The 24003-nt window shown below is 41.0% G+C and overlaps 1 protein-coding gene and 1 pseudogene across 14 annotated transcripts in view; both read right to left on the bottom strand.

The window, feature by feature from the left end:
• Window positions 1–24003, bottom strand: part of GRIA1 (glutamate ionotropic receptor AMPA type subunit 1) — a 324255-nt gene that overhangs the window by 46969 nt on the left and 253283 nt on the right. For all 14 annotated transcript variants that reach the window (NR_157093.2, NR_047578.2, XM_047417128.1 and 11 more), the window contains one exon: window positions 2269–2467. Coding sequence is in view for 12 of the 14 variants with exons in the window: in XM_047417128.1 (XP_047273084.1) it covers window positions 2269–2467 (199 nt within the window). In the remaining 2 variants the exon portion in view is untranslated. The remainder of the gene's footprint in view (window positions 1–2268; window positions 2468–24003) is intronic.
• RN7SL177P (RNA, 7SL, cytoplasmic 177, pseudogene) lies at window positions 11221–11519 on the bottom strand (annotated as a pseudogene).

Here is a 24003-nt window from a genome sequence, read left to right as displayed (position 1 = left end):
TTCTTAACTTTGTGCTGTGGACAAGAGGCAGTAATATGTCAACTGACGTAGTGATTAACAAAGACTTTTGAAATTTTAAATCCCAGCTGTGCCTCTCATTAGGTAGGGCATGACCATTTTCTTCTCTGGGCCTCAGTTTTCCCAACTATAAAATGGTACAGTTAGACTAGATGTGTCCACAAGCCCAGCTGTCATCCTGAGTGATCTTTTTAAAAATGTTTGTCAGTTTAATGACACCACCACATTAAGACCATGTGGTTCAGTGACAGGAATACTTGGATTGGAACAAGAAAACTCAGATTTGGTACCCACCCCTGACACTTGCATCAAAAGAATTTCCCAAGTTTTAATTTCTTATCCGCAAAGTGGCTGCCACAAATACCTCTTCTGCCTGAGGTCACAGGTGAAACAAAAATGAAACCATAGGTGCAAAAGTACTTTGAGGACTGGTGCATGTTGTCTATGCTATAAGGATGAGAGCATTGTTAAGTGAATTAGATGGTTCCCTAACTGCATTAGCAGGGGTTGGGGCATAGGACAGGCTTTATGGACAAGTAGAAACAGGCACCTTCTTCACACTTTTGTTGCAGGCTAAAAATGTCAGGGAATTGTAATGAGATTGTAAGTGGCTTTTTTATTAACTGGCTGGGTGAGCTTAAGCAAGTAATGCCTCTCTCTAAAATGACAGCCTCTGACTAGGTGACCTCTAAGGCACCTTCCTGCTCTGACACATTGAAAATTGATGATTTTAGCCTTGGAGTTAGGATCAATGATGCTTAAGGCTTTGTTCCCTTTCCTGTCTGTCATACAGAATACAAAGCCCATGGTCAAGAACCTGCAGCATCTCCCACAGTGGTTTGTTCGGGGCCTGGAGTTTGCTCCAAGAAGTTGTAGTGAGATAACTAGGTGAGTCTGTACAGGATCCCTTCTCTTTTGCCTGAGGCAATATGGCAGCGTGCTGTCTCTGCTCCTTCTGCTACTAATTAGCTGTGTGATCTTAGGTGATTCTTTTAATTTTCTGATCTATAAAATGGGGACCTATCCTAACTCTGAGCTATAAAATAGGGACAATCTCTAACTCATCTTTAATGAGAGGATTAAATGAGATAATTTGTGTAGGGTGTGCTTAGCACAGGACCTGGTTCATATGTAGGCGGTAGCAAATGTTTCTTATTATTCTTATTTGATCCATAGATGGTAGTTCCATGTACTGTTTCTTCAACTCCTGGGATAAACATCCCTAAAGTCCAGGGAAACCACAGGTTTTCCTGCTTCTCGGTGTCTGTCCAAGTTGTTCCTTTTGTCTAGGTTGTACTTAGCCTACTCAGGTCTGGCCTGGCTTTGTGATATCTATAAATGTTTACAGGTCTACCCTGGCTTTGTGATATCTATAAATGTTTACACGTCTACCCTGTATGGCTTTAGTCTCTACCCATTCTTCAGAATGACTCCCAAAGGTTTGCATTTCCTTGAAGTCCTAATGGTATATGGAACCTCCACTGATTGTTCCTTGTTTTGCCTCTAATTTTAGATACCCTATCTCTTTTAGTCTTGTTAAGCTCTGATATAGACATTGTTCTCCTCATTACATGGATGAATGGAAATGGTGTCACAGAGGCTAAGTGTACAGAACAAGTAAGGGATGGAGCCAGGTTCTGGGCCTCCATCTGCTGAACTTGAAGGCTGTGCTCCTAAGCTCTCTGCTCCTTTGCTTCCGCTCACTGTCTTCTGCCAAAACACATCTCACCACCTCCACTCCCACTTCACATTTTCTCTCTCTCCTGGCACCATTTAATAGATCACCTTTTCCAGTTTTTTTTTTCCCATATACTATCCTCTTATTCATCAAGTCAACAAACATTCACTGAGCTCCTTCTATGAGATAGGAGGGGACACAAAGAGCATCAGGTCCAGCTGTTGTCCGTAAGCTGTTCCTAATTGATTACTAACTAGACTATAAGGTTTCCGTGATAACAGAGAGGAAATTGTATTTGATGTCTTTTGCAGCCCTCAGAGCATTAGCACAGACTGATACAGGCAAGGGATCCAAATCAATGCAGGAGCTTTGAAGCTTCTACAAATGTAGAAATGTAGATTTCTCAGGGGGGTGGTAGAAAGCTTAGAAATGTCCTGAGTTTCCCTGACTTACAGTCAGTTAAGCACTTGCTCTGGCTGCCTGTTATCTCAGGCTATATAATGAGAAGGACATTTTAATGACAGTTGTGGTTCCCTTTTGTGAAAGTGTCTTGGGACAAAGGATGTCCCTACCCTGAAGAACTCCTTAGTAGATCCTGCTTCCAGCGTCCCGTAGGCAATTTCTGTCTGCTTCGCTAGGTCCTCTGCACTCTCAATGGGAGACACCATCCTCTCCACGGTCAGGAAGGCGGCCAGATTGGCTGTATATGAGGAGATGATGATTAAGGTGAAGAACCACCAGACGCCACCAACGATGCGACCAGACAGGGACCTGCAGGCCAAAGGGAAGAGGCATCAGCAGCATGGACATCAACTGTGGAAAGCTCTGGGGAGGGACTGAGCACGGGTCCGGGGCTTGGCAGCAGAGCGGTCAGGCCCTATTGCACCCTTCTCATCTGTCAGCAAGATGTGAGAATTCAAATGTTGTTAGAGAGACTCCATATTTTGTTCCTTATTACGGACATGGATCTGTGGGGTTGCTGTCCTTCAGGGGTGATAAAGCCCACATGCACGTATTCACACTCCCTTTTACACATATATAACAGCAAGACACATGATGACAAAGACACAGATATGTCAACACTTGCCCACAAAAATCACAAATATGTATAAGCAATTACATACACAGCAAATGTTTTGTGCAAACATGTATGAATGCAAATGCATTTATACACATGATGCAAACATTTGATTGGTTTAGACATGTTTTCAGACTGCCTTATTATTGCTCTCCTGGCTGGCAAAGGCCACCAAAATAGTGGACTAGAAGGAAAGGAAGGAAGAATACATTGGAAATAGAATCAGAATAGTCATAGTCCAACCATTGTGGGGAATGCCACCATTGTGTGCAGACACAATTCTTTCCCCCACTCACCCAAGGAAGATAATTTGGTTGAAATAAAAAAGATAAAAAAAGGCAAATATGATAATCAATTATGAGGTGAGAAATTTATCTTTGAACTTTTCAGATTGCTATTCCCCTCTCTTATCTCCCAAACAATGAAGAGAAACATAACCAGCCGAGAGTTCCACTGTTATCTCTCTGATCTGATAGGATACTTCCAAGTCCAGGGCTTCCCAAGATATTACAAGATGATTTGCATGTGACTTGTGGTGATTTTATGTGGTAAGCAGTTAGGGCATCATATCATAATGAATCCTATGGTGGTAAAGTTATTTGCATTTCATTTCTCTTTCCATCCTGTTCAATTTATCAAGGAAGTGTTATTCTGGAGCCCCTGTACCTTTAAGCCCGTTCTGACAAGTGCTCTGACAGCCTCAAGCTCAGAGCCTTCAATAGGTGACAGTGTTTAATTGAAACCCTATATTTAACAATCAGAGAAATCACCAATGCAACCCATGAGTTTTACCAAGAAACCCAAGAGTCTACTGTGCCTCGGGACAGCAGTACGCGGGCCTGTTGGCTGCTCTGTTGTTCCACACTGCTTGCAAAACCCTTATCTGTGTTGACCTTATATGTGTTATTCCTACATCCCTTGACACTTCACTTTACCTTGATTTCTTGGAGATCCCTTTTCACTCTAGGCAGACAGGGTTTACTCCAAGAAATCCAACAAATATATGTCATTGCTTGCTATGTGGAAAAGAATGCTCCTAGGCGTTTCACACGGAGGGGAAAATAAAAGAGAGGAACACTTGTTGGAATGGATGAGACCAGGAGAGCGGAGCAAAGCTATGTCGCATGAGGAGCAGTTGCAGGAACAAGGAACATTTAACCTGATGAAGAGACTTGAAGAGACATGTTCACTGAAGAGTTGGCATGAGGCTTGTACTATGTGACCTGATTTAGGAGAACTTTGTAGAAGTTTCAGGAAAACAAATACTACTTAAATATGAGGAAGATATTTTTGATAGGTAGGGTGTGCAACATTGAGATGGCTATCCTGAGAGTGAGAGTGTTTCTCCATTTCTGAAGGTGTTCAAGTAGTGAACCATTTACAGAGATATACTTGGTGGTGACTCTTGGTCCCCCAGGACACCAAGTGCTGGGAATGCAACTCTAAGGAGGACAGAGAAGGGGTCAAGGTTCACATGGGGTTAGGGACCAGTTGCTTCCTTTTACACTTTTCCATTTATGAGATTGTGTGATTTAAAATCATAAGTAGGTAGACCAGGATATACGAATTCCATTAAGCAGTCAAGCAAGATAGTTACAAAGGGGCAAAATCACTCCCCCAGTGCCCCAGAACCAGTGCACAACAGGTCTGAAAATCATACCAGTCTTCACATAGAACTATCCCAGTGCTCTTTTCATCTTAGTAGGTGGCAGATACAAGTGTTGAGGTCATTTGAAGCTGCAGCAGCTTTCCCAACTCTGGATGACCACAATGGCCTCTAAACTGTACCTCTTTCCTTTTTAAAATTTTATTTTGTTTTCAACTGACACATAAAAATTGTAGATATTTATGGGGTGGAGTGTGATGTTTTGATATATGTATACATTATATAATGATCAATTCAGAGTAATTAGCATGTACATCACCTCAAACATTTATCATTTATTTGTGGTGAGAACATTCAAAATATTATCTTTGAGCTATTTTGAAATATACATTATTGTTAAATATAGTCACCCTACCGTGCAATAGAACACAAGAACTTATTCCTTCCATCTAACTGTGCCTTTGCACCTGTTCACAAATCTCTTCCCATCACCCCTCCCCCTCACTTCCCCAGCCTCTGGAACCACTGTTTTACTCTGCACTGCTAGGAGATCAATTTTTTTAGATTCCACATGTAAGTGAGATCATGTGGTATTTGTCTTTATGTGCTTGGCTTATTTCACTTAACATAATGTATTCTAGGTCCATCCATGTTGTTGCAAATGACAGGATTTCATTCTTTTTTATGGCTGAATACTATTTCATTGAGTACATACCACTTTTTTAAAAATCTATTCATCTGTTGATGGGCACGTAAGTTGATTCCATATTTTGGTTACTGTGAATAGTGCTGCAATAAACATGAAAGTGCCAGATATCTCTTTGATGTACTGATTTAATTTCCTTTGTATATTTACTCAATGGTGAGATTGTTGAATCATATGGTAGTTTTATTCTTAATTTTTTGAGGAACCTCCATAATGCTGTCCATGATGGCTGCACTATTTATATTCCCACCAGCGGCATATAAGAGTTCCCCTTCCTCACACCCTTGCTAGCATTTGTTATTTTCTGTCTACTTCATAATAGCCATTCTAACAAGGGTGAGGTGATATCTCACTGTGGTTTTGATTTGTATTTCCCTGATGATTAGTGATGTGGAGCACTTTTTCATACACTCTGTTGGCCATCTGTATACTTATTTTTTGAGAAAAGTCTATGCAGGTTTTTTGCCCATTTTTAATCGACGTATTTGCATTTTTGCTATTGAGTCCTTATATATTTTGAATATTAACCTCTTGTAAGATACATAGCTTGCAAATATTTCTACCCTATTCTGTAGCTTGTTTCTTCACCCTGTTGATTGCTTCTTTTGCCATGCTGAAGCTTTTTAGTTTGATGCAATCCATTTGTCTATTTTTGCTTTTGTTGTCTGGGATTTTGAGGTTCTGTTTAAAAAATCCTTGCCCAGACCACTATCATGAAACGTTTCCCCTGTTTTTATCTTGTACTTTCATAGTTTTGAATCTTATATTTGTGTCTTTCATCCATTTTGAGGTGATTTTGGTACCTAGTGAGAGATAGGGATCTAGTCTAATTCTGCATGTAGATATCCAATTTTCCCAGCACCATTTATTGAAGAGACTATCCCTTCCCCATTGCATGTTTTTGACACCTTTGTTGAAAATCAGTTGGCTGTAAATGTGTAGATTAATTTCTGGGTTGTCTATTTTGTTCCATTAGTCTGTGTGTTGTGTTTGTTTTAATGCCAGTACCATCCTGTTTTGGTTACTATAGCTTTGTAGACTATTTTGAAGTCAGGTAGTGTGGTGCTTCTAGCTTTGTTCTTTTTGTTCAAGATTGCCTTGGCTCTTCAGGGTCTTTTGTTATTTCATACAAATTTTAGGATTATTTTTCTATTTTTGTGAAGAAGGTTGTTGACATTATGATAGGGATTGCATTGAATCTGTAGATTGCTTTGGGTGATATGGATATTTTAACAATATTAATTCTTTCAATTATGAATAATGGATATCTTTCCATTTGCTTGTGTCCTCTTAAATTTCTTTCATCAATGTTTTATAGTTTTTACCACAGAAATATTTTATCTCCTTGGTTAAATTTACTCCTAGATGTGTTTTTTGGAGCTATGTAAATGGAATTGCTTTCTTGATTTCTTTTTCAGGTATTTTTCTGTTAGACTATAAAAATACTATTAATTTTGTATTTTGATTTTATACCCTGCAACTTTGTTGAATTTCTATTAGCTTTTTGGAGGGTTTCTAGGGTTTTCTATAGAGAAGATCATGTCATCTGCAAACAGGGACGATCTGACTTCTTCTTTTTCAATTTGAATGTTCTTTATTTTTTTCTCTTGCCTGATTGCTCAGGCTAGGACTTCCAGTACAACGTTGAATAGAAGTGGGGACAGTGGCCATCCTCGTCTAGTTCCATATCTTAGGGGAAAAGCTTTCAACTTTTCCCTATTCAATATGATGTTAGCTGTATTTTTCATATATGGCCTTTATTGTGTGGAGGTATTTTCTTTCTATAGTTAATTTGTTGAGGGTTTTCGTCATAAAAGGTTGCTGAATTTTATTAAATGCTTTTTCTGTATATATTGAAATGATCATCTAATTTGTGTTCTTGATTCTATTAATGGGATGTATCATGTTTATTGATTTGAATATGTTGAACCATTCTTGCATCCCTGGGCTGAATCCTACTTGATTATGGTGCATGATCTTTTTAATGTGCTGTTGAATTTGGTTTGCTAGTATTTTGTGGAGGATTATTGCATCTATGTTTATCAGGGATATTAGCCTGTAGTTTTCTTTTTTGTTGTGTCTGGTTTTGGGATTAGGGTAATTCTGGCTTCAAAGAATGAGTTTGGAACAACTTCCTCCCTTTCAATTTTTTTGGAATAGTTTGAGAATAATTAAATTAGTTCTTCTTTAACTATTTGGTAGAATTTGGCAGTGAAGCCGTCAGTCCTGGGTTTTCTATGATGGGAGACTTTTTATTACTGATTCAATCTCCTTGCTTGTTATTGGTCTTTTCAGGTTTTCTATTTCTTCTTAATTCAATTTTGATAGGTTGCATGTGTCTAAGAACTTATTTTTTTCCTAGGTTTTACAATTTGTTGTGTATAGTTATCACAACAGTCTCTTATGATCCTTTATATTTCTGTGGTATCAATTTTAACGTCTCCTTTTTCATTTATAATTTTATTTATTTGAGTCATTTCTCTTATTTTCTCAGTCTTGCTAAAGGTTCGTCAGTTTTATCTTTCTAAAAAGCAACTCTTTTTGAGCTTTTGTGTTGTTTTTAGCCCCTATTTTATTTATTTCTGTTCTGGTCTTTATGATTTATTTCCTTCTGTAAATTTGAGATTTAGTTTGTTCTGTTTTTTTTTTTGGTCTTTGAAGTTCAATGCTAGGTTGTTAATATCTTTCTACTTTTTTGACATAGGTATTTATTTCTATAAACTTTCCTCTTGCTGTATCTCATAGGTTTTCATATGTCATGTTTTCATTTTCATTTGTCTCATGAAATTAAAATTTTTAAAAAATGTCCTCATTGATTCATTGGTTGTTCAGGAGAATGTTGTTTAATTTCTGTAATTCTGTATGGTTTCCAAAGTTCCTCTTGTTATTGATTGCTAGTTTTATTGCACTGTGGTTATAAAAGATACTTAACATAATTTTGATTTTTAAAAATTTGTTAATACTTGTTTTGTATTGTGATATATGTATGTGATATACTCGTTTTCTATGTGATATATGCTGTAGACTGTTCTATGTTCTGTTGCAAATAACGTATATCCTACAACTCTTGAATGGAATGTTCTATAAAGGTATGTTAGGTCCATTTGGTCTAGAGTGCATCTAGAAACAACTAGTCTGGTGTTTCTTTGATTATCGTCTGTCTGGATGATCTCTCTATTGTGGAAAGTGTTGAAGTTTCTCCTATTATTTTATTGCAGAGTATAGTTCTCTTTAAGTCTATTAATATTTGCTTACATATTTAACTGCTCTGATGCTGGTTGAATATATATTTATAATTATTATATTCTCTTGCTGTATTTGACTCCTTTACCGTTATATAATTGCCTTCTTTGTCTTTTTTGTTATAATTTTTTTCCTGAAAATGTACTTTTTTCTGATATAAGTGTGACTACTCCTGCTCCATTTTTTTGTTTTAATTTACATGGAATATCTTGTTCCCTCCTTTTTCTTTCAGACTATGTGTTCTCTTATAGGTGAAGTGACCCTCTTGTGAGTGGCATATAATTGGGTCTTATTTATTTTTATTAATTCAGCCACGCTATGTCTTTTAATTGGATAATTTAAGCAATTACATTTCAGGTAATTCAGTCAGGGCTTACCACTGCCATTTTGTTACATGTTTTCTAGTTTCAAAAAACAGATTCTTTAATTCTGTTCTTTCTTGCTGTTTTTCTTTGTGATTAAGAGATTTTCACTAGTAGTATGCTTTTATTTTCTGTTTAACTATTAGAAATCCTTGCTTTGTGGCTACCATGAGGCTTACAATAAACATTCAATAGCTCTACCTCTTAACATATTATTGTAGTTATTGTTATTTTTCATAGTTTTGTCTTTCAGTCTTTGTACTAATAATGTAAGTGATTTACACACCATGATTATAATATTAGAATATTGTGAATGTCTGTATATTTGCTTTTACCAGTGAGTTTTATAACTTCAGATGTTTTATTGTTACACATAGTGTCCTTTTCTTCCCGTTTGAAAAACTCTCTTTAAGATTTCTAGTAAGACTGTCTGATGGTGATGAATTTCTGGGTCTTTCATTTGTCCAGGAAAGTCTTTATGTCTCCTTCAATTCTGACAAATAGCTTTTCTGGGTACAGGCTTATTGGTTAGCAAGTTTTTATCTTTTCCTTCAGTACTCCTAATATATCACCAAGAGTACTTCCTCCTGGTCTGCAAAGTCTTTGCTGAGAAGTCTGTTGCCAGGTGTGTTGGGATTCTTACATGTTATTTGCTTCTTTTCTCTTGCTGCTTTTAGAATTCTCTTTGTCCTTGATCTTTGAAAATTTGATTACAACTTGTCTGAGATAGTCTTATTTGGGTTGAATCTATTGGTGACTTTTGACCTTCCTCTACCTGGATAATTATATCTTTCTTTAGGTTTGGATAGGTCTCTGTTATTTCTTTGCATAAGCCATCTACCCTTTTGTGTTTTTCTTCTCCCTCTTGAACTTCAATGACCCAAATATTTGCTCTTTTGATGCTATTCCATAGATTCTATAAGCTTTCTTTGTTCTATTTCATTCTTTTTTCCTATTTTCTCCTTTGGCTGTATTTTCAAGGAGACTGTTTTCAAGCTCTTGATTCCTTCTTCTGCCTTATTAACTTCTGCTGTTTATGCTTTCTATTGCATTTAAAAAAATTCATTAATTTGTATTTTTCAGTTCCAGATTTTTTTGTTGTTGCAATCTCTCTGTTAAATTGCTGAATTTTTTCTCTGTGTTTTCTTAAAATTCATTGAGCTTCCTTAACACAGCTATTTTGAATCACTTGTCCAACAGATCATATATTTCCATCTCTTTAGGGTCCCTCATTGGTGTCATGTTTTGTCCATTAGGTGAGGTCATACTTCCAAGATTGTTCTTAATGCTTGTGGATGTATGTCAATCTCTTTACATTGAAGAATTAGATATTTATTCTAGTCTTTGCAATCTGGCTTTGTTTGTGCTCATCCTTCAGTTGGCCTGTCCAGAAATCTGTTGTCAGAGTCTGTGACTCTGACAATCTAACCTGTTGTCAGAGTCTGTGACTGCTGCAGCTATTTCAACACTAGAGGGTATCCTAATCTAGGGTTCTCTGTAAGTCTTGTGAAGGCTTAGAGGTTGGGATGGTACTCCAGCTTGGTTGGACCTAGAGAAGAGTCAAGGCGGGTACTGGAGCTGTATGGGAAAGATGGGTAGGAACCTGAGTTCAGACGCCTGTCTCACTGGTCCATATGGCTTTGTGTTTTTTGACAGATCCCTGCATAAGTGGGACAATTTCCTGGCTATAGTGAGAGGAGCTGCGGAACAGATGTTGGCAACCCTGCCTACAGTGTTGCAGACATGTATGCTTCCCAGCAGTTTCCTGTATGGCCAGGGCAGTTCTCTTACTGCAGTTTAAGTGGAACTAAAGCCAAGACTGGGCCCCCTCAGGATCCACTGTGGCACAGATGCTGGTGAGCTCACCCCAGTAGCCCAGATGTGTGTACTTCCCAACTAATTTCCTGCATGGGTGGGGGAGTTTCCCAACTGTAGCAAGAGGGGTGAAAGCTGAGACTGGGCCCCCTCTGGATCTGCTGTGGGATGGAATCTTCTTGGCCATCACAGAGGTTCCTATGGACAGGCAATTCCTGGTCTGTGAGGTATGAGTGAGTTTCCCTCTGGTTCCTTGTGCAAGCTTTAATAAGCTGGGCCTGCAGCTGTTGGGGGGCTGGAGCCAAACTGCCAGATAACTTTCAGATCCACTGGCAAGACCAGTGTCATCAGGCAGACAAAACTTTCTGCAGAGGCACGAAGGTGCATGATTTCTCCTGGACCCATTGACAGATGGTTTTGGTTGCAGGCTCAAAGCCAAATAGGGCTGAAGCCAAGCCCTTTGAGGAACAAAGTTGTTTACAGGTTTGAACCTAAGAGCATGCTCAAGTTTGCTACCTGGGTGCTGTTCTACACTCTTAAAACAGCCTGCTTAGGTCTTGGGCTCTGCCAGTGTTTTATAATCTCCTACCTGAATCTCAAAGCTCCTGCAGAGAGACTTTTTTCCTGTGGATGGCTGCAGAATTCTTATTGTTGTTAGGGGGATATGAGCAGGTTATCTCCTATTCTGCCATCTTGTTTTATGTATTATTTTTTAGAGACAGTATCTCGCTATGTTGCCCAGGCTGCAGTGCAGTTGCTATTTACAGGCGCGATCCCATGACTGATCAGCATCAGAGTTTTGACCTGCTCCAACTCCAATCTGGGCCAGTTCACCCCTCCTTAGGCAACCTCGTGGTCCCCTGCTCCTGGGACGTCACTATATTGATTCCAAATTTAGTGTGGACACCTGATTGTCATAACACACTACAGCCCAGAACTCCTGTGCTCAAGTAATCCCCCTGCCTCAGCCTTCGAAGTAGCTAGGAGTACAGGGGTGTGCCACTGTGCCTGGCTCTGCCATCTTGTTGATGTCACTTGAGAGTGAACTGGACTTCTTGCCTCCATCCAGTCCTCTATGCCCCTACTGCCCAGCTGTACAAGGCCACCTGTACAAGGTAGCCAGAGTGATCTTTTGAAACATATTAATTGCACCATGTTGCTTTTCTGCTTAAAACTCACCAAAGCTTTTCTCTTAACACTTGGAATAAATTCAAACTCTGATGAGCCTCGAGGCCTTGTGTGATCTGGCCCCTGGCTCACTCTCCATTGTCACCCAGCAACATACTTGCTGTACTCTGGTCATACTGCTCTTTGTTTGGCCCCTCATATTCAAAAGACTCCCATCCTTATCACATGCTTCTCTTTCCCCTGATCAATGCATCAGCCCCTATTCATCCTTCAGACCTCATCCTAATCATTACATTTTTAGTATTCAGCCGTAAGACTCAGAGCCTCATGTAGCTCTCATAGCAGCAGAACTATGGCATCTGTTTGCCTCTTCTATTGTCTTTTTTCCCTTACACCATAAGCTCCATGAAAGCAAAGGAATCTTTTAGTTCTTTGGTGTAGCATTGTATCTCCAGTGCTCAGCATGGAGCAGGCCCTCATTAGTAAATGAATGCATAAATAGTCTGTCTTATAACCTGGCATCTCCATGCACATTGGATTTTGGACCGTGGGAAGAATTGTCAGGCTGAGGAGAATCCAAAACTGCTTATGGTCCAAAGTGTCTGGAGTCATGGCATCAAACCAAGTATTCAGGATGGCTGCCTCCTTTTCTAACATCCCTAAATTGAAGAACCCAGCGAAGCTATCCCAAGTTCAGGATCATCTAGTGAAGCCCAAAGCCTTCCCACAAAAGTTCCACACACCTAAGACTCCTTCTTCCCTGTTCTCTTTTAATTGACATTTTTCTTTTTGTTGTTGTTGTTGTTGTTGTTTATAGCAGCCTACCTTGAACGATAGTCCCTACATCCCCGCCTACTGAATGACGATACCAAAGAAAGAGTTTGCTGCTTAACAGCCAGCAACTGTCATTTTTGGAATAACTGGAGAGCTAGGGGAAGAAGTTCAAAGTCTGACTTAATCCCAATGCTTCATTTGCATGTGATTCACAAGATAAGAACTTGAGGGCAAGGCAATCCTCCCTACCTTCAATTTGGAACTGGCTCAGGTGAAGCTGGGCCTCTATCCAGGAAAGTTACATTTTCCCAGCTCCATACTAAACGCAGGGAGCTGGAATTATTAGAGGCCAGGGCTGGGAATGAGAGCCTTTTCTCTTTCACTGACCATCTCCACAACTTGGTGAGTCACCTGCCTAGCTGGGCCTCTGTCTTCCTGCTCTGTATAATAGGTGAGACTTACCCTCCTTCACTGTGAGAAACCAACACTTTCAAAACTAGAACGACTCAGTCCATTTCTTTCCTTTAACTGATACAAGCTGCTGGAATTAAACTGGTACAGGGGAAAGCACTTGGAAATTTCTGTTGAAACACAAAGCATTACTTTTTATGATGATGATTATCCTCCCAGGGAGCCACAGGGCAAAGCAGCACTTTTCTTGGCAGGGAAGAAACAGCTGTGATCTGAAGCCCTTGGAGGTCTGTCTGCCTAGTCACCTGAATTTTATTAGCCTTGCAACTTGGCATGGCTTTTCCCAAACCCCCCTGGGTATTTGAGGATTTTTTTTTTTTTTCCTGCAGAATTGGCTATAACTTATGTGGCTTGTTGAATCTATTATCTTACTTCAACCTTATTTACAGCCCTGTAAAATGGATGGGAGAAATAGGAATATTCTGATCTTGGAGATAAGAGAACTATAATTCGGAGACCTAAGATGACGAGCCCAGAGTCACACAGTAAGGCAATGACAGAGCTGGGACTAGAAACTGGGATTTCATATTTCTTATCCAGCACTTTAGCTACTGCAGGACACTACCTCCCTCACCTAATTCTGATTCATTTATGGGTGGACATGGACTTCTTTAACTCATGACTCCTGTGATGTTGGATCTCAGCAGCACTGACTTCTTCAAAGCCCAGCGGAACCTTTGGTCAGCAGTCTGACCACCAATATCTGATATAATTGGATTTTTATTCCATTGTTGTATTGTGTTCCTGCTTGTATTTGTATTCCATTGTTGCATAACACAATGACACAAACACAGCAGCTTATAACAACATTCATGTATTATCTCACAGTTCTGTAGATTAGAGGTCTGTCTTAGGGTGGCTAGATTCTCTGCTCAGGGTCTCACTAGGCTGAAGCCAAGGCATTAGCTGGAGCTGTGGTTCTTATCACTTCCAAGCTCACTGGTTGTTGGCAGAATTCATCTCCTTGTGGTTATAGGATTGAGGTCACTGTTTCCTTGCTGGCTGTCATCTTCTAGAGGTTGCTGCATTTCTCATCACTTGACTTCCTCCATCTTTAAGCCCACAATAGGGTGTCAAATCCTTCTCATTTTTTGAATCTCTCTAACCTCCACTAGCTGGAGATGACTTCTTGCTTATTAAGAGTTCACCTGATTGGGCCAGACCCACCTAGATAATCTCTGTGTCTTAAACTGAACTGATTGAGATTTTAATTGCCTCTATAAAATCTCTTCATAGCATTACATAGATTAGTGTTTGGTTGAAGAACCAGGAGACAGGAATCTCTAGGATTGTGAGTACCATACTATTTATTCATTTACTTTGCAAGCATTTCCTATATGGCAGACACTGCTGGTCACTGAGGAGATAAAAGTGAATATGCCATGGTCTCTCCCTTCCATGGGCTCACAGTCTGATAGAGAAGATAGGAAGGCAGTGGAGCCTACTGATTAAAAAACATATAATTTAATGTTAGACACCATGGATTTCCTGCAAAGTGCTCAGCACAGTACTGTTAGCTCACAGTATATTTAACACTCTGTTAAGCCATCATCATCATCTTGTGTAAATATCATAGACAATAATTATTCTACTATCTTAGTTACATGACAAGTAAGAAAGTAGCATGGAAGGAACACAGAAGGGCTTGCTAATTACTCTGCTAGCAGAGGTCAGGAAAATTTACCAGAAGAGGAGATATTGTGCTAGATTTTGAAGTAGGAGTGGGAGATCACCAAGCAGACAGGTGCAGGGGTGGGAGAACGCCAGGAGATAGATATAAAATAGAAGAGGTGAGTAAGATTTCACCTCCTCTGTAAACTTCCCCAACTTTTGCCAGCATAGTTCTGAGCCACCCCTTCTGTATTCCCATTAAACCACTATCATTCTTCCATTACAATATAATCACTCGGCTGTATTGATTTAAGGTGTTACTATCATGATTGTTTATGGTATTTATTGATTAACAATGATGATGATGGGTGAAAAGTACTGCAGAGCCCACAGAAATGGGAAGGGGCGGGCTGACTGCCGAGATCCAAGTGATAGCATTAAGTGATCCACAGGAGCAGGGGCTGTGGGAGAGGAAAGATGCTCAATGGACAGTTCACGCCTTCTGGGTAAATGAATTCGGACATGGTCTGGGAGTAAGGTGCTGGAAGCAGGCTGTCTCTTTTTGCAAAGGATCTTTTTTCCTTTTGTTAACAAAATAGTGTATGTATCGTTTAGGGCATAACTTGATGCTAACGGAAGATAGTAAGGATCTGATGGGACCATTCTCTGGGTTTCCGATAGGCATTTCTTGTTCTGGTTATTGATTAGGATTCATTGCAGGCCTTTAAATGTGTGCTTCTAATGTCACAGTTTAGATTTGTTGCTTTTAAACAGAGGCCAGCAAACTTTTTCTGTCAAAGTCCAGGTAGTGAATATTTCAGGCTTGTGGGTCTTATGGTCTTTGTTGCACTACTCATCTTTGCTGTTGCAGAGTGAAAAGTAGCCATAGACAATATGTAAGCGCAAGTGCATGGCTGTGTTCCAGTAACACTTGAATGCCAAAACAGGCGGCAGGCTGGATTTGGCCTGGGGGCCATAGTTTGCTGACTCCTGCTCTCAATCTCTACTGCGAATATCAGAGACCTTTGATCTAAGCTAATATGCAACAGTAGTTGACATATTTTAAAAACCATCTATCCAGTTATTAGTTCTTCTGCACAAACACCCAGAAAACCTATTGCCATTATTTGTTTGAAAATTATTATTGTGTGATCCTTAGAGAGAAAGCAGAGGGCACTGTCATTGTTTGTCAAGAGAATGGGCTCAGGGTTCAGATGAAGCTGAAGGGCATCCTGCCTTGTTTCTTATTGGTTGTATGACTTTGGGCAAATCGCTACATCTCTTTGTGCTTACTTCTCCTTCTCTTTTTTTTGACAGAGTCTCGCTCTTGTTGTCCAGGCTGGAGTGCAGTGGCGTGATCTCGGCTCACTGCAACCTCTGCCTCCCAGGCTCAAGCAATTCTCCTGCCTCAGCCTCCCAAGTAGCTGGGATTACAGGTATGCGCCACCACGCCTAGCTAATTTTTTTTGTACTTTTAGTAGAGACGGGGTTTCATCATCTTTGGCCAGGATGGTCTCGATCTCCTGACCTCGTGATCCGGCTGCCTCAGCCTCTCAAAGTGCTGGGATTACAGGCATAAGCCACCATGCCCGGCCTGTGCTTAGTTCTTTACAAAATGGAGTAATGGTTGTACTCATCTTACAGGTATTCTTAAGAATTAAAAAGAAAAATACTAATAAAGCAGGTAGCAAAGTGGCTGGCAGAGTTACTCTCTGCCCTTCAGGATGGAGGTATGCACACAGTGTGAGGAGCAGCAACCTGGGTATAGGGGCAGGGGGAGCAGACACTAAGGCAGGGGGCCTTCAGGAAAGCAGACACTTGGGGCCTGTGTAGGGAGTGGAAAGTTATTAAGCAGCAATCAACTCTTGATCCCAGCAGCCTCCCCTCTAGGACATCTCTGACAAGGAGTTGGATATGGACATTCTTCTTTATTTCAAAAACACGTCGTGTCATCCCCAAGAGGAAGGGGACAGAAGGGACACCTCCTGTGTGCCTTCATTCAACTGAGCTCAAGAGGTCACTGAGTGCAACCTATTTCCCTTTGTCCTCTTCTTCAAATGGCTATTTATAAAAAGGAATGAAAACGGGCATAAAGGCACAGGCTCAGATGGCCTGTCTCTAAATTACTGGGAGAAAAAAGTCCATCTTGACTAATTACTGAGCTGAGCTGTGTTCAGAGAGAGGCTCACTTGATACTGGGCATCGAGGTTCCTAGACCAGGGTAATTAGTGCTGGCCAAATGCAACAATTCCACTGATGAGGCCACTTCATCCAAGATGCTGCGTCTGAGTGGCAAATCATCCCATTTGTCACCAGCTGCAAATCACTCAGCTCTTCCCTGGCAGAGCTGGAGTGATTCATTTTAATTGCCCCAGCTGCCGGTCACTGTGTTCCAGCACTCCAGATGGGGGAGGGCCCTGGACTCTGGGGGTGAGTCTCAGGGTTGGAAGGCTGGAGGTTAGACAACAAGCTCTAAGGAAAGCCCAGTACTCTGTAAGCTGGTGTACTATTCTAGCACTTGCAGGGCTATATTTCAAAGAGAATCGTCCTTTGTTCCTATTTTTTTTTTCCAGTTAGGTAGGCTATGGGAGTGTAGTGTGGGCAGTTTGCAAAAAAATGGGTGTAGATTCATTCATTTATTCATTCATTCATTCTTTGGTTCACTCTCTGATATAGTTTGGATGTTTGTCCCTCCAAATCTCATGTTCAAATTTGATCCCCAGTGTTGGAGGTGGGGCCTGGTGGAAGGTGTTTGGGTCATGGGGGTGGATCCCTCATGAAGGGTCTGATGCCCTCTTCCTGGTAATGAGTGATTTCTTGCTCTATTAGTTCCCACAAGATCTGACTGTTAAAAAGAGCCTGGCATCTTCCTCTCTCTTTCTCCCTCTCTCTCCATGTGATCTGCACATGCCAGCTCCCCCTTGCCTTCCTCCGTGAGTGGGAGCAGCCTGAGGCCCTCATCAGAAGCAGATGCTGGCACCATGCTTCTTGTACAGCCTACAGAAACGTGAGCTAAATAAACTTCTTTTCTTTATAAATTACCCAGCCAGGGGTAAGCCTTTATAGCAACACAAATGGAATAGGACTCTCTCTAAGCCTCAGTTTTCATACCTGAAAAAGGGAGATAATGAATCCCATCTCATGACTTGTGAAGTTAGTAAGTCACATCTCACACTTAGCACAGACACGGCAGAGCTAAAGATGTTACTCATAATGATGATGATGACAATGATTTCTTCTGAAAACACTTCTCTTTGCTCCTAGGCCCCACTCTCTCCTGGGTCTCCTCCTGCCTCACAGGTTGGCTTATCTTTGCTGGTTGTCTCCGTTGCTGGTTTCTTCTTTCTGCTTAATCTTGAGCTATTGCTGTGCCCAAAGCTCAAGCCTCAGCCCTCTTCTTATCCCTGTCTACAGTCTTGCTCTCATGATCTCCTCCGGACACATGGCCTGTATACACAGAGGCTGAAAACTCCCCAATTTAGATCTCTATCCCCTATCCTGTTTTTTAAATGTATATATTTAACTGCCTACTTGGTACCTTAGACCTGAAGTATCCAATTCAAAATTCTCAATGAACCCTCACAAAAAATGTGCAAATAAATAGAAGACTCATTCTTCTCCATTTTCCTCATCTCAGGAAATGGCACCACTGTCCACCCTGCTATTTGAGCCTAACACCAGGGAGTCATTTCTGACTTGTCTCTTTCCCTCACCCACACATCCAGCCCATCCAGTCCAATCATCCCCTCATCTTCATAGGCAGCATTCCAGATAGTAGATCCTAGCATAACATTTCCTTGCCTCTTCTCTTGTTCTTATACAATCCATGTTCACACAAGAGCCAGAGAGATCTTTTTAAACTATAAGTAGGACCATGTTGTTCCCACCCCACTTAAAATCTGTCCCACTTAGAAGATAAAATCCAAATATTCTACCAAGGCACTCCCTGAGCCAGCCCGCGTCTTGTCTCCTCTTGTACTGTCTTTTCCTCCATGCTATGTTCCAGCCACTTTGATCTTCTTGTTTCTAGAAAACACCGAAGTCTTTCCCACCTCAAGACCTTTGCAATTTTTGTTGATCCCCTTACCTGGAACTCACTTCCCTGAAATTGTCCCAAACCTGCCTCCTACTACCCTTCAGGTTTCAATTCAAATGTCACCTCTTCATATGCACCACTCTAAGTATCATTACCTCCATCACCCATCTTTTCTCTTATTTTTTTCATTTCTTTCATAGCACTTATCAAAGTATATGTGATCTTTATATAATTACATATGTACCAACTGACTTGTTTATTCATTTATTATCTATCTATCTCCCTCCACTAATGTGTAACTTCAGCGAGGGCGGGGGTCTTATCAATGTCATTCACTGCTACACCCTCAGCACTAGCACAGTGCCTGGCACACAATAGGTGCTCAGTGAACATACACTGAATAAATGAATGATTACACAAATGTTTACTGAGGACTGACTACACACCAAGCGTGATGGGAAATACTTAAGAGAAAATCAATTTAATAGAAGAGATGTGACCCACACAGAAACAACTGATAGTTGTGCTGCAGTGAACAGCATGGATGGTCACTGATTAAGTGCTAAGGACATGCAGAGGTGGGAAAGGCTACACCCCACTGGGAAAACTTTGGAAAGGTTTCATGGAAAGAGATGTCACGTAACTGGGCTCTGCAGGGCAGGCTGGCTTTGAGCTTTCTGAAACAGAAAGAAAGGCATTTCTTGGAGCAGGAACAGCCTGTACTATGGTGTGGAAGCTTGGACAAGAATGTGAACAAGCAACAATTTCACTTTGCCCCAAACATATTCACCATCATAGCCACTGTTCTCTGAGAACCAACTCTGAGCTGGATGCTATGGAAGACACTTGACATTTATCTAATTCCCATCTCTTTCTTTGGGCCAGGTGGGTGTATCCCCTGAGAGAGTTTGGATGTTCGTCTCATCCAAATCTCATGTTGAAAGGTGATTGTCAATGTTGGAGGTGGGGCCTGGTGGGAAGTGTTTGTCATGGGGGCAAATCCCTTTGAATGACTTGGTGCCCTCCCTATGGTAATGAGTGAGTTCTTGCTCCATCAGTTCATGCAACTGCTGGTTGTTTAAACGAGCTTGGCACTTCCTCCTCCCTCTTGCCCCCTCTCTTACCATGTGACACGCTGCTCCTCTTTGCCTTCTGCCATGAGTAAAAGCTTCCTGAGGCCTCACCAGAAGAGCTGTGCAGATGCTGGTGCCATGCTTGTATAGCCCACAGAACTGTGAGCCAAATAAACCTCTTTTCTTTAGGAATTACCTAGCCTCAGTTGTTCCTTTATAGTGATGCAAAACAAACTAACACATCCCCTTTTGTTAAAAGAGGAAACAGATTCAGAGTGAATAAATAATTTATTTAAGGTCACAGAACAAGTGAGGGGGTTGAAATGTGAGCCCAGATCCATCTGATTCCACTCATGTGATTTTTCACTGTGCTGAGAAGGGGTCCAGCTTAGACCAGGGTCACCACCCTCCTTTCTCGAGATTTACCTTCTCAGGTCTCAAGCACCACTTACCACAGTTCCTAGACACAAAAGAATATTTGGCAACACACTCTTGTTATAAATGGGACTTCCTCCCATTTCCTTCTGTGTATTTTTGGGCTTAAGTTCTTAGAAGAAGCTATTCTCTTTTTATAGCTGCCTGCCGGACGGCCCATAATACCAAAACATATGGTTTCTCTGCATCCAGAGGCCCCCACCCCCAGAGCTCTTACTATCTGCTGATCCATCAGCTCATTTTCAGAGGTGAGATGGGCTCCAAGGGCCTGGGTCTCTGCCTCAGTGGGCCAGGTGTGGGCCTGCATTGTCATCTGTGGCCAAACATATCTCTGGCATTTGAAGTTCTTAGGACTGGGAACATATTTAAATGTGGGATGTTGTGGGCTTTTTAAAAATATACCCCGACCCATAAGCAAATGGGAGATAAAATAACAATATGCACTTCTGCTTTAATTAACGTTTGTTAACTCCAGCACAAGGCACATATTAAAAGGAGCGATTTTACTTAAAATAACCCATTGAAAATCCCCATTTGCCAGGTATTTTTTCACCCTACTCAGTTCCCTGCACACTCAGTCCCTCCCTCCCACATATCCCCAACTGAGCTAGCAGAACAGCAGTCGGAGGCAGGAAACAGTCTCTCTTCCTCTCTTTACTCAGAAACTCCCCAGCCAATTCTTCAAAGGGACACTCAGCTCTTTCCGAGGCAGTAAAGAGAATTATTAAGTGGAAGTTCAGCAGCCCCACAGACTTCCTACCCCTGCCCCCTGCCATTTGTTAACTTGTGTGATTTTGGGCAAGTCATTTCACATCTCTGAGCCTCGGTTTCACCTAGCTGTGAAATGGGGATACCTAGAAAATGGGGATAAGAACAGGAACAACCTAAAAGGGCTGTCGTGAGGACAAGCACAATGTGCTTATCTGGACAAGTGTAGATACCTGGTAGAAGCAGTTACCACTCTCAGAAGTGAAAGATGACATGGGAAAAATGGACCATAAGAGGTGAAGTGAAAAAAATCAGATTGTAAAACAGAATACACTATATGACCCCATTTAAAAACTCAACCTTGGCAGAGATAAGTGTCTGGAAGTATGTAAACCAAGATGTTTAAGATGTTCTTCTATGAGTCATCTATAACATCTATAAATGTAAGATGCCTGCATTATGGGCTTTATTTTTTTTTCCTTACCTTTTTACTTTGATTTCTTAATTTCCTAAGTGAGTGAATACCTATAATTTCTTTTTCTTTTCTTTTTTTTTTTTTTTTTTTTTTTGAGACAGAGTTTTGCTTTTGTTGCCCAGGCTGGAGTGCAGTGGCGTGAACTCGGCTCACTGTAACCTCTGCCTCCTGGGTTCAAGCAATTCTCCTGCCTCAGCCTCCCTAGTAGCTAAGATTACAGGCATGCACAACCACACCCAGCTAATTTTTTGTATCTTTAGTAGAGATGGGGTTTCACCACACTGGCCAGGCTGGTCTCAAACTCCTGACCTCAGGTGACCCACTCACCTTGGCCTCCCAAAGTGCTGGGATTATAGGTGTCAGCCACCATGCCCAGTCTATTTTTTTTTTTTGTAATTTCTAACTTGATGGGAGGCATACAGTCAGGAAGAGAGAAGGAAGGGACGAACATAAACATGACAGTGAATGAAAGCCTCTCTGAAGGAGTGATATTTAAGCGGAGAGCCGAAGGTTGAGAATAATCTAGACGTGAGAAAAATCTAGAGGAACACACTCTAGACAGTGGAAACAGGAAGAGCAAAGGTTCTGAAGCAGGAAAAGCCTTCATGTGTTCAAGATGATTGGCAGCACAGGATGAGTCTGGAGAGTGAAGGAAGGACTAAGTCAAGTATTGCCTCCGAAGCTAGGGTATGGACTCTGGATTGAATGATTTAAAGTCCAGCTCCAAGTGCCACCTCCTCCAAGAAGCCTGCCTGACTGCTGCTTCCTACGCTCACCTCTCATTTCTCTGAACTCCTCTACTTTTCCTGTTGGTAGCACTCCTTGCTTTCCTCCTATTCATTGTTAGCACTACACTAAATTATTAAATCATTAAAGGATTTTATATTTCTTCATAATTCTCTAGAACCTAATAACTGTACAGTCTCAATATTTGTTGAGTGAATGTGAAACTCTCACTCTACTTTTCCTGTTGGTAGCTCTCCTTGCTTTCCTCCTATTCATTGTTAGCACTGCACTAAATTATTAAATCATTAAAGGATTTTATATTTCTTCATAATTCTCTAGAACCTAATAACTGTACAGTCTCAATATTTGTTGAGTGAATGTGAAACTCCATAAGTAGGAAATTTGTAACGCTTTCCTCTGTAGGGAAAATACTTCTTAAGCTAATAAATAGCAAAAACATGATTGCACAAGGGATCATTTATTCTGAGTGAATAAACTGATTTCAAACACTTGAGGAGCACCCATTTTTGGGAAAGTGGAATCGAAATACATCCATAATTCTTACAGGGTCATTAAATCATGTTTCCTCAGAATCTTTACTCAGGAAAGCATTTGTTATAGAGCAAATTATTGCACAAAGTTAAAATAACAAACTTTTTTCTTTAAAGTATTATAAAAGACTAATGTTCTCACAGATCTAGACAGGTTTCCACTCTTGGTGAACTGTTGCCATAAATTTGCCTGAATTATTATCGATAAGAAATGCCAACTTTGTATCTCTCCCCCTTTTTCTCAGGGGTCCTCACTCAGAATGCCCTCCCTCTAACAAGGAGATAATTGGAGACACAGCCGGCTCTGGGCCTGCTCTGAGTTGAAAGAGGCACCAAGGAACCTTCAACTTCATCCTCACCCTCAGGAAATGGGAATTGTTCTTCCCCAGTTCTCAAAGAGGAGAAGCAGCCCTTCCTAGCTGGGACATGATATTATGTTCATCACTAGGACCTGGGCCCTGTGTCCAGCTCTGCCATTGGACCTTAACCTCTGTGCTCCACATATGTCCAATGAGCATGAGATTATCCACCCCGTTATGCATAGGATGTGCAGTAGGCAGAATTCTAAGATCGCCCCATGACCTCTGCCCCCTGGTGTTACTGCTATGATTATGTTATGTTCAATTGCAAAAGGGATTTTGCTTTTGCCCATGTAATTACGTTTATTAATCAGTTGAACTTAAGACAGGAACATTATCTGGGCGTACCTAATCTATGACATGAGTCTTTTAAAAGAAGAATTTTCTCCATCTGGAGGAAGAAGAGGAAGACAGAGAGATTTGAAGTGGGAGGGATTTAATTTGAGGGAGGGTCCTATCACTGAGTTGGAGGGGCCATGGGCAAGTATCTGAGATGGCCTCAAGAAACTGAGAGTGGTCCCCAGTGGCAGCCAGCAAGAAAATGGGGATTTCAGTCTTATATCTACAAGAAACTGAATTTTGCTAATAAAAGAAAGGAGTTTGGAAGAGAACCCCCAAGCTCCAGAGGAGAGCTCAGCAGGCTGACATCTTGATTCCAGTCTTATGAGAACCTGAGCAGAGAATCAAGTCACAGCCTACTGGACTTCTGACCTATAGAACCATGAGGTAATATATGGGTGTTGTCGAAGCTACTAAGTTTGTGGTTATTCATTACACAGCAATGGAAAACTAATGTATGGTGACTGACAATCATTATACAATACTCCCTTAAGCCATTTTTTTGTGTCTGCCATTTGACGATGTCTGCAATAAATTCCTAATCTATCATTTTAGCCTCGGTCTCCACTTTTCTCCTCTCTATTTTCTGGGTGAAGAGGCAGTTAAGAATAAAGGCTCACTTTCAGGCTGCTTGGGATCAAAAGCCATTCTGCCAAGAACTGGGTGGTGTCCTTGGACAAGTTACCTAAGCACACTAAGCTTCAATTTCCTCACCCACAAAGTAAGGTGTGATAGGCAGAAAATTTGCCCCCCAAAAACATCTATGCTCTAATCCCTAGAACTTGAGAATATGTGACATTACAAGGCAAAG

The sequence above is a fragment of the Homo sapiens genome, chromosome 5 (genome assembly GCF_000001405.40).
Source record: "Homo sapiens chromosome 5, GRCh38.p14 Primary Assembly".
In the NCBI taxonomy this organism is placed as follows: domain Eukaryota; kingdom Metazoa; phylum Chordata; class Mammalia; order Primates; family Hominidae; genus Homo; species Homo sapiens.
The sequence above is the reverse complement of the archived record's forward strand: the minus strand, read 5'-3'. Positions and strand labels throughout refer to the sequence as shown.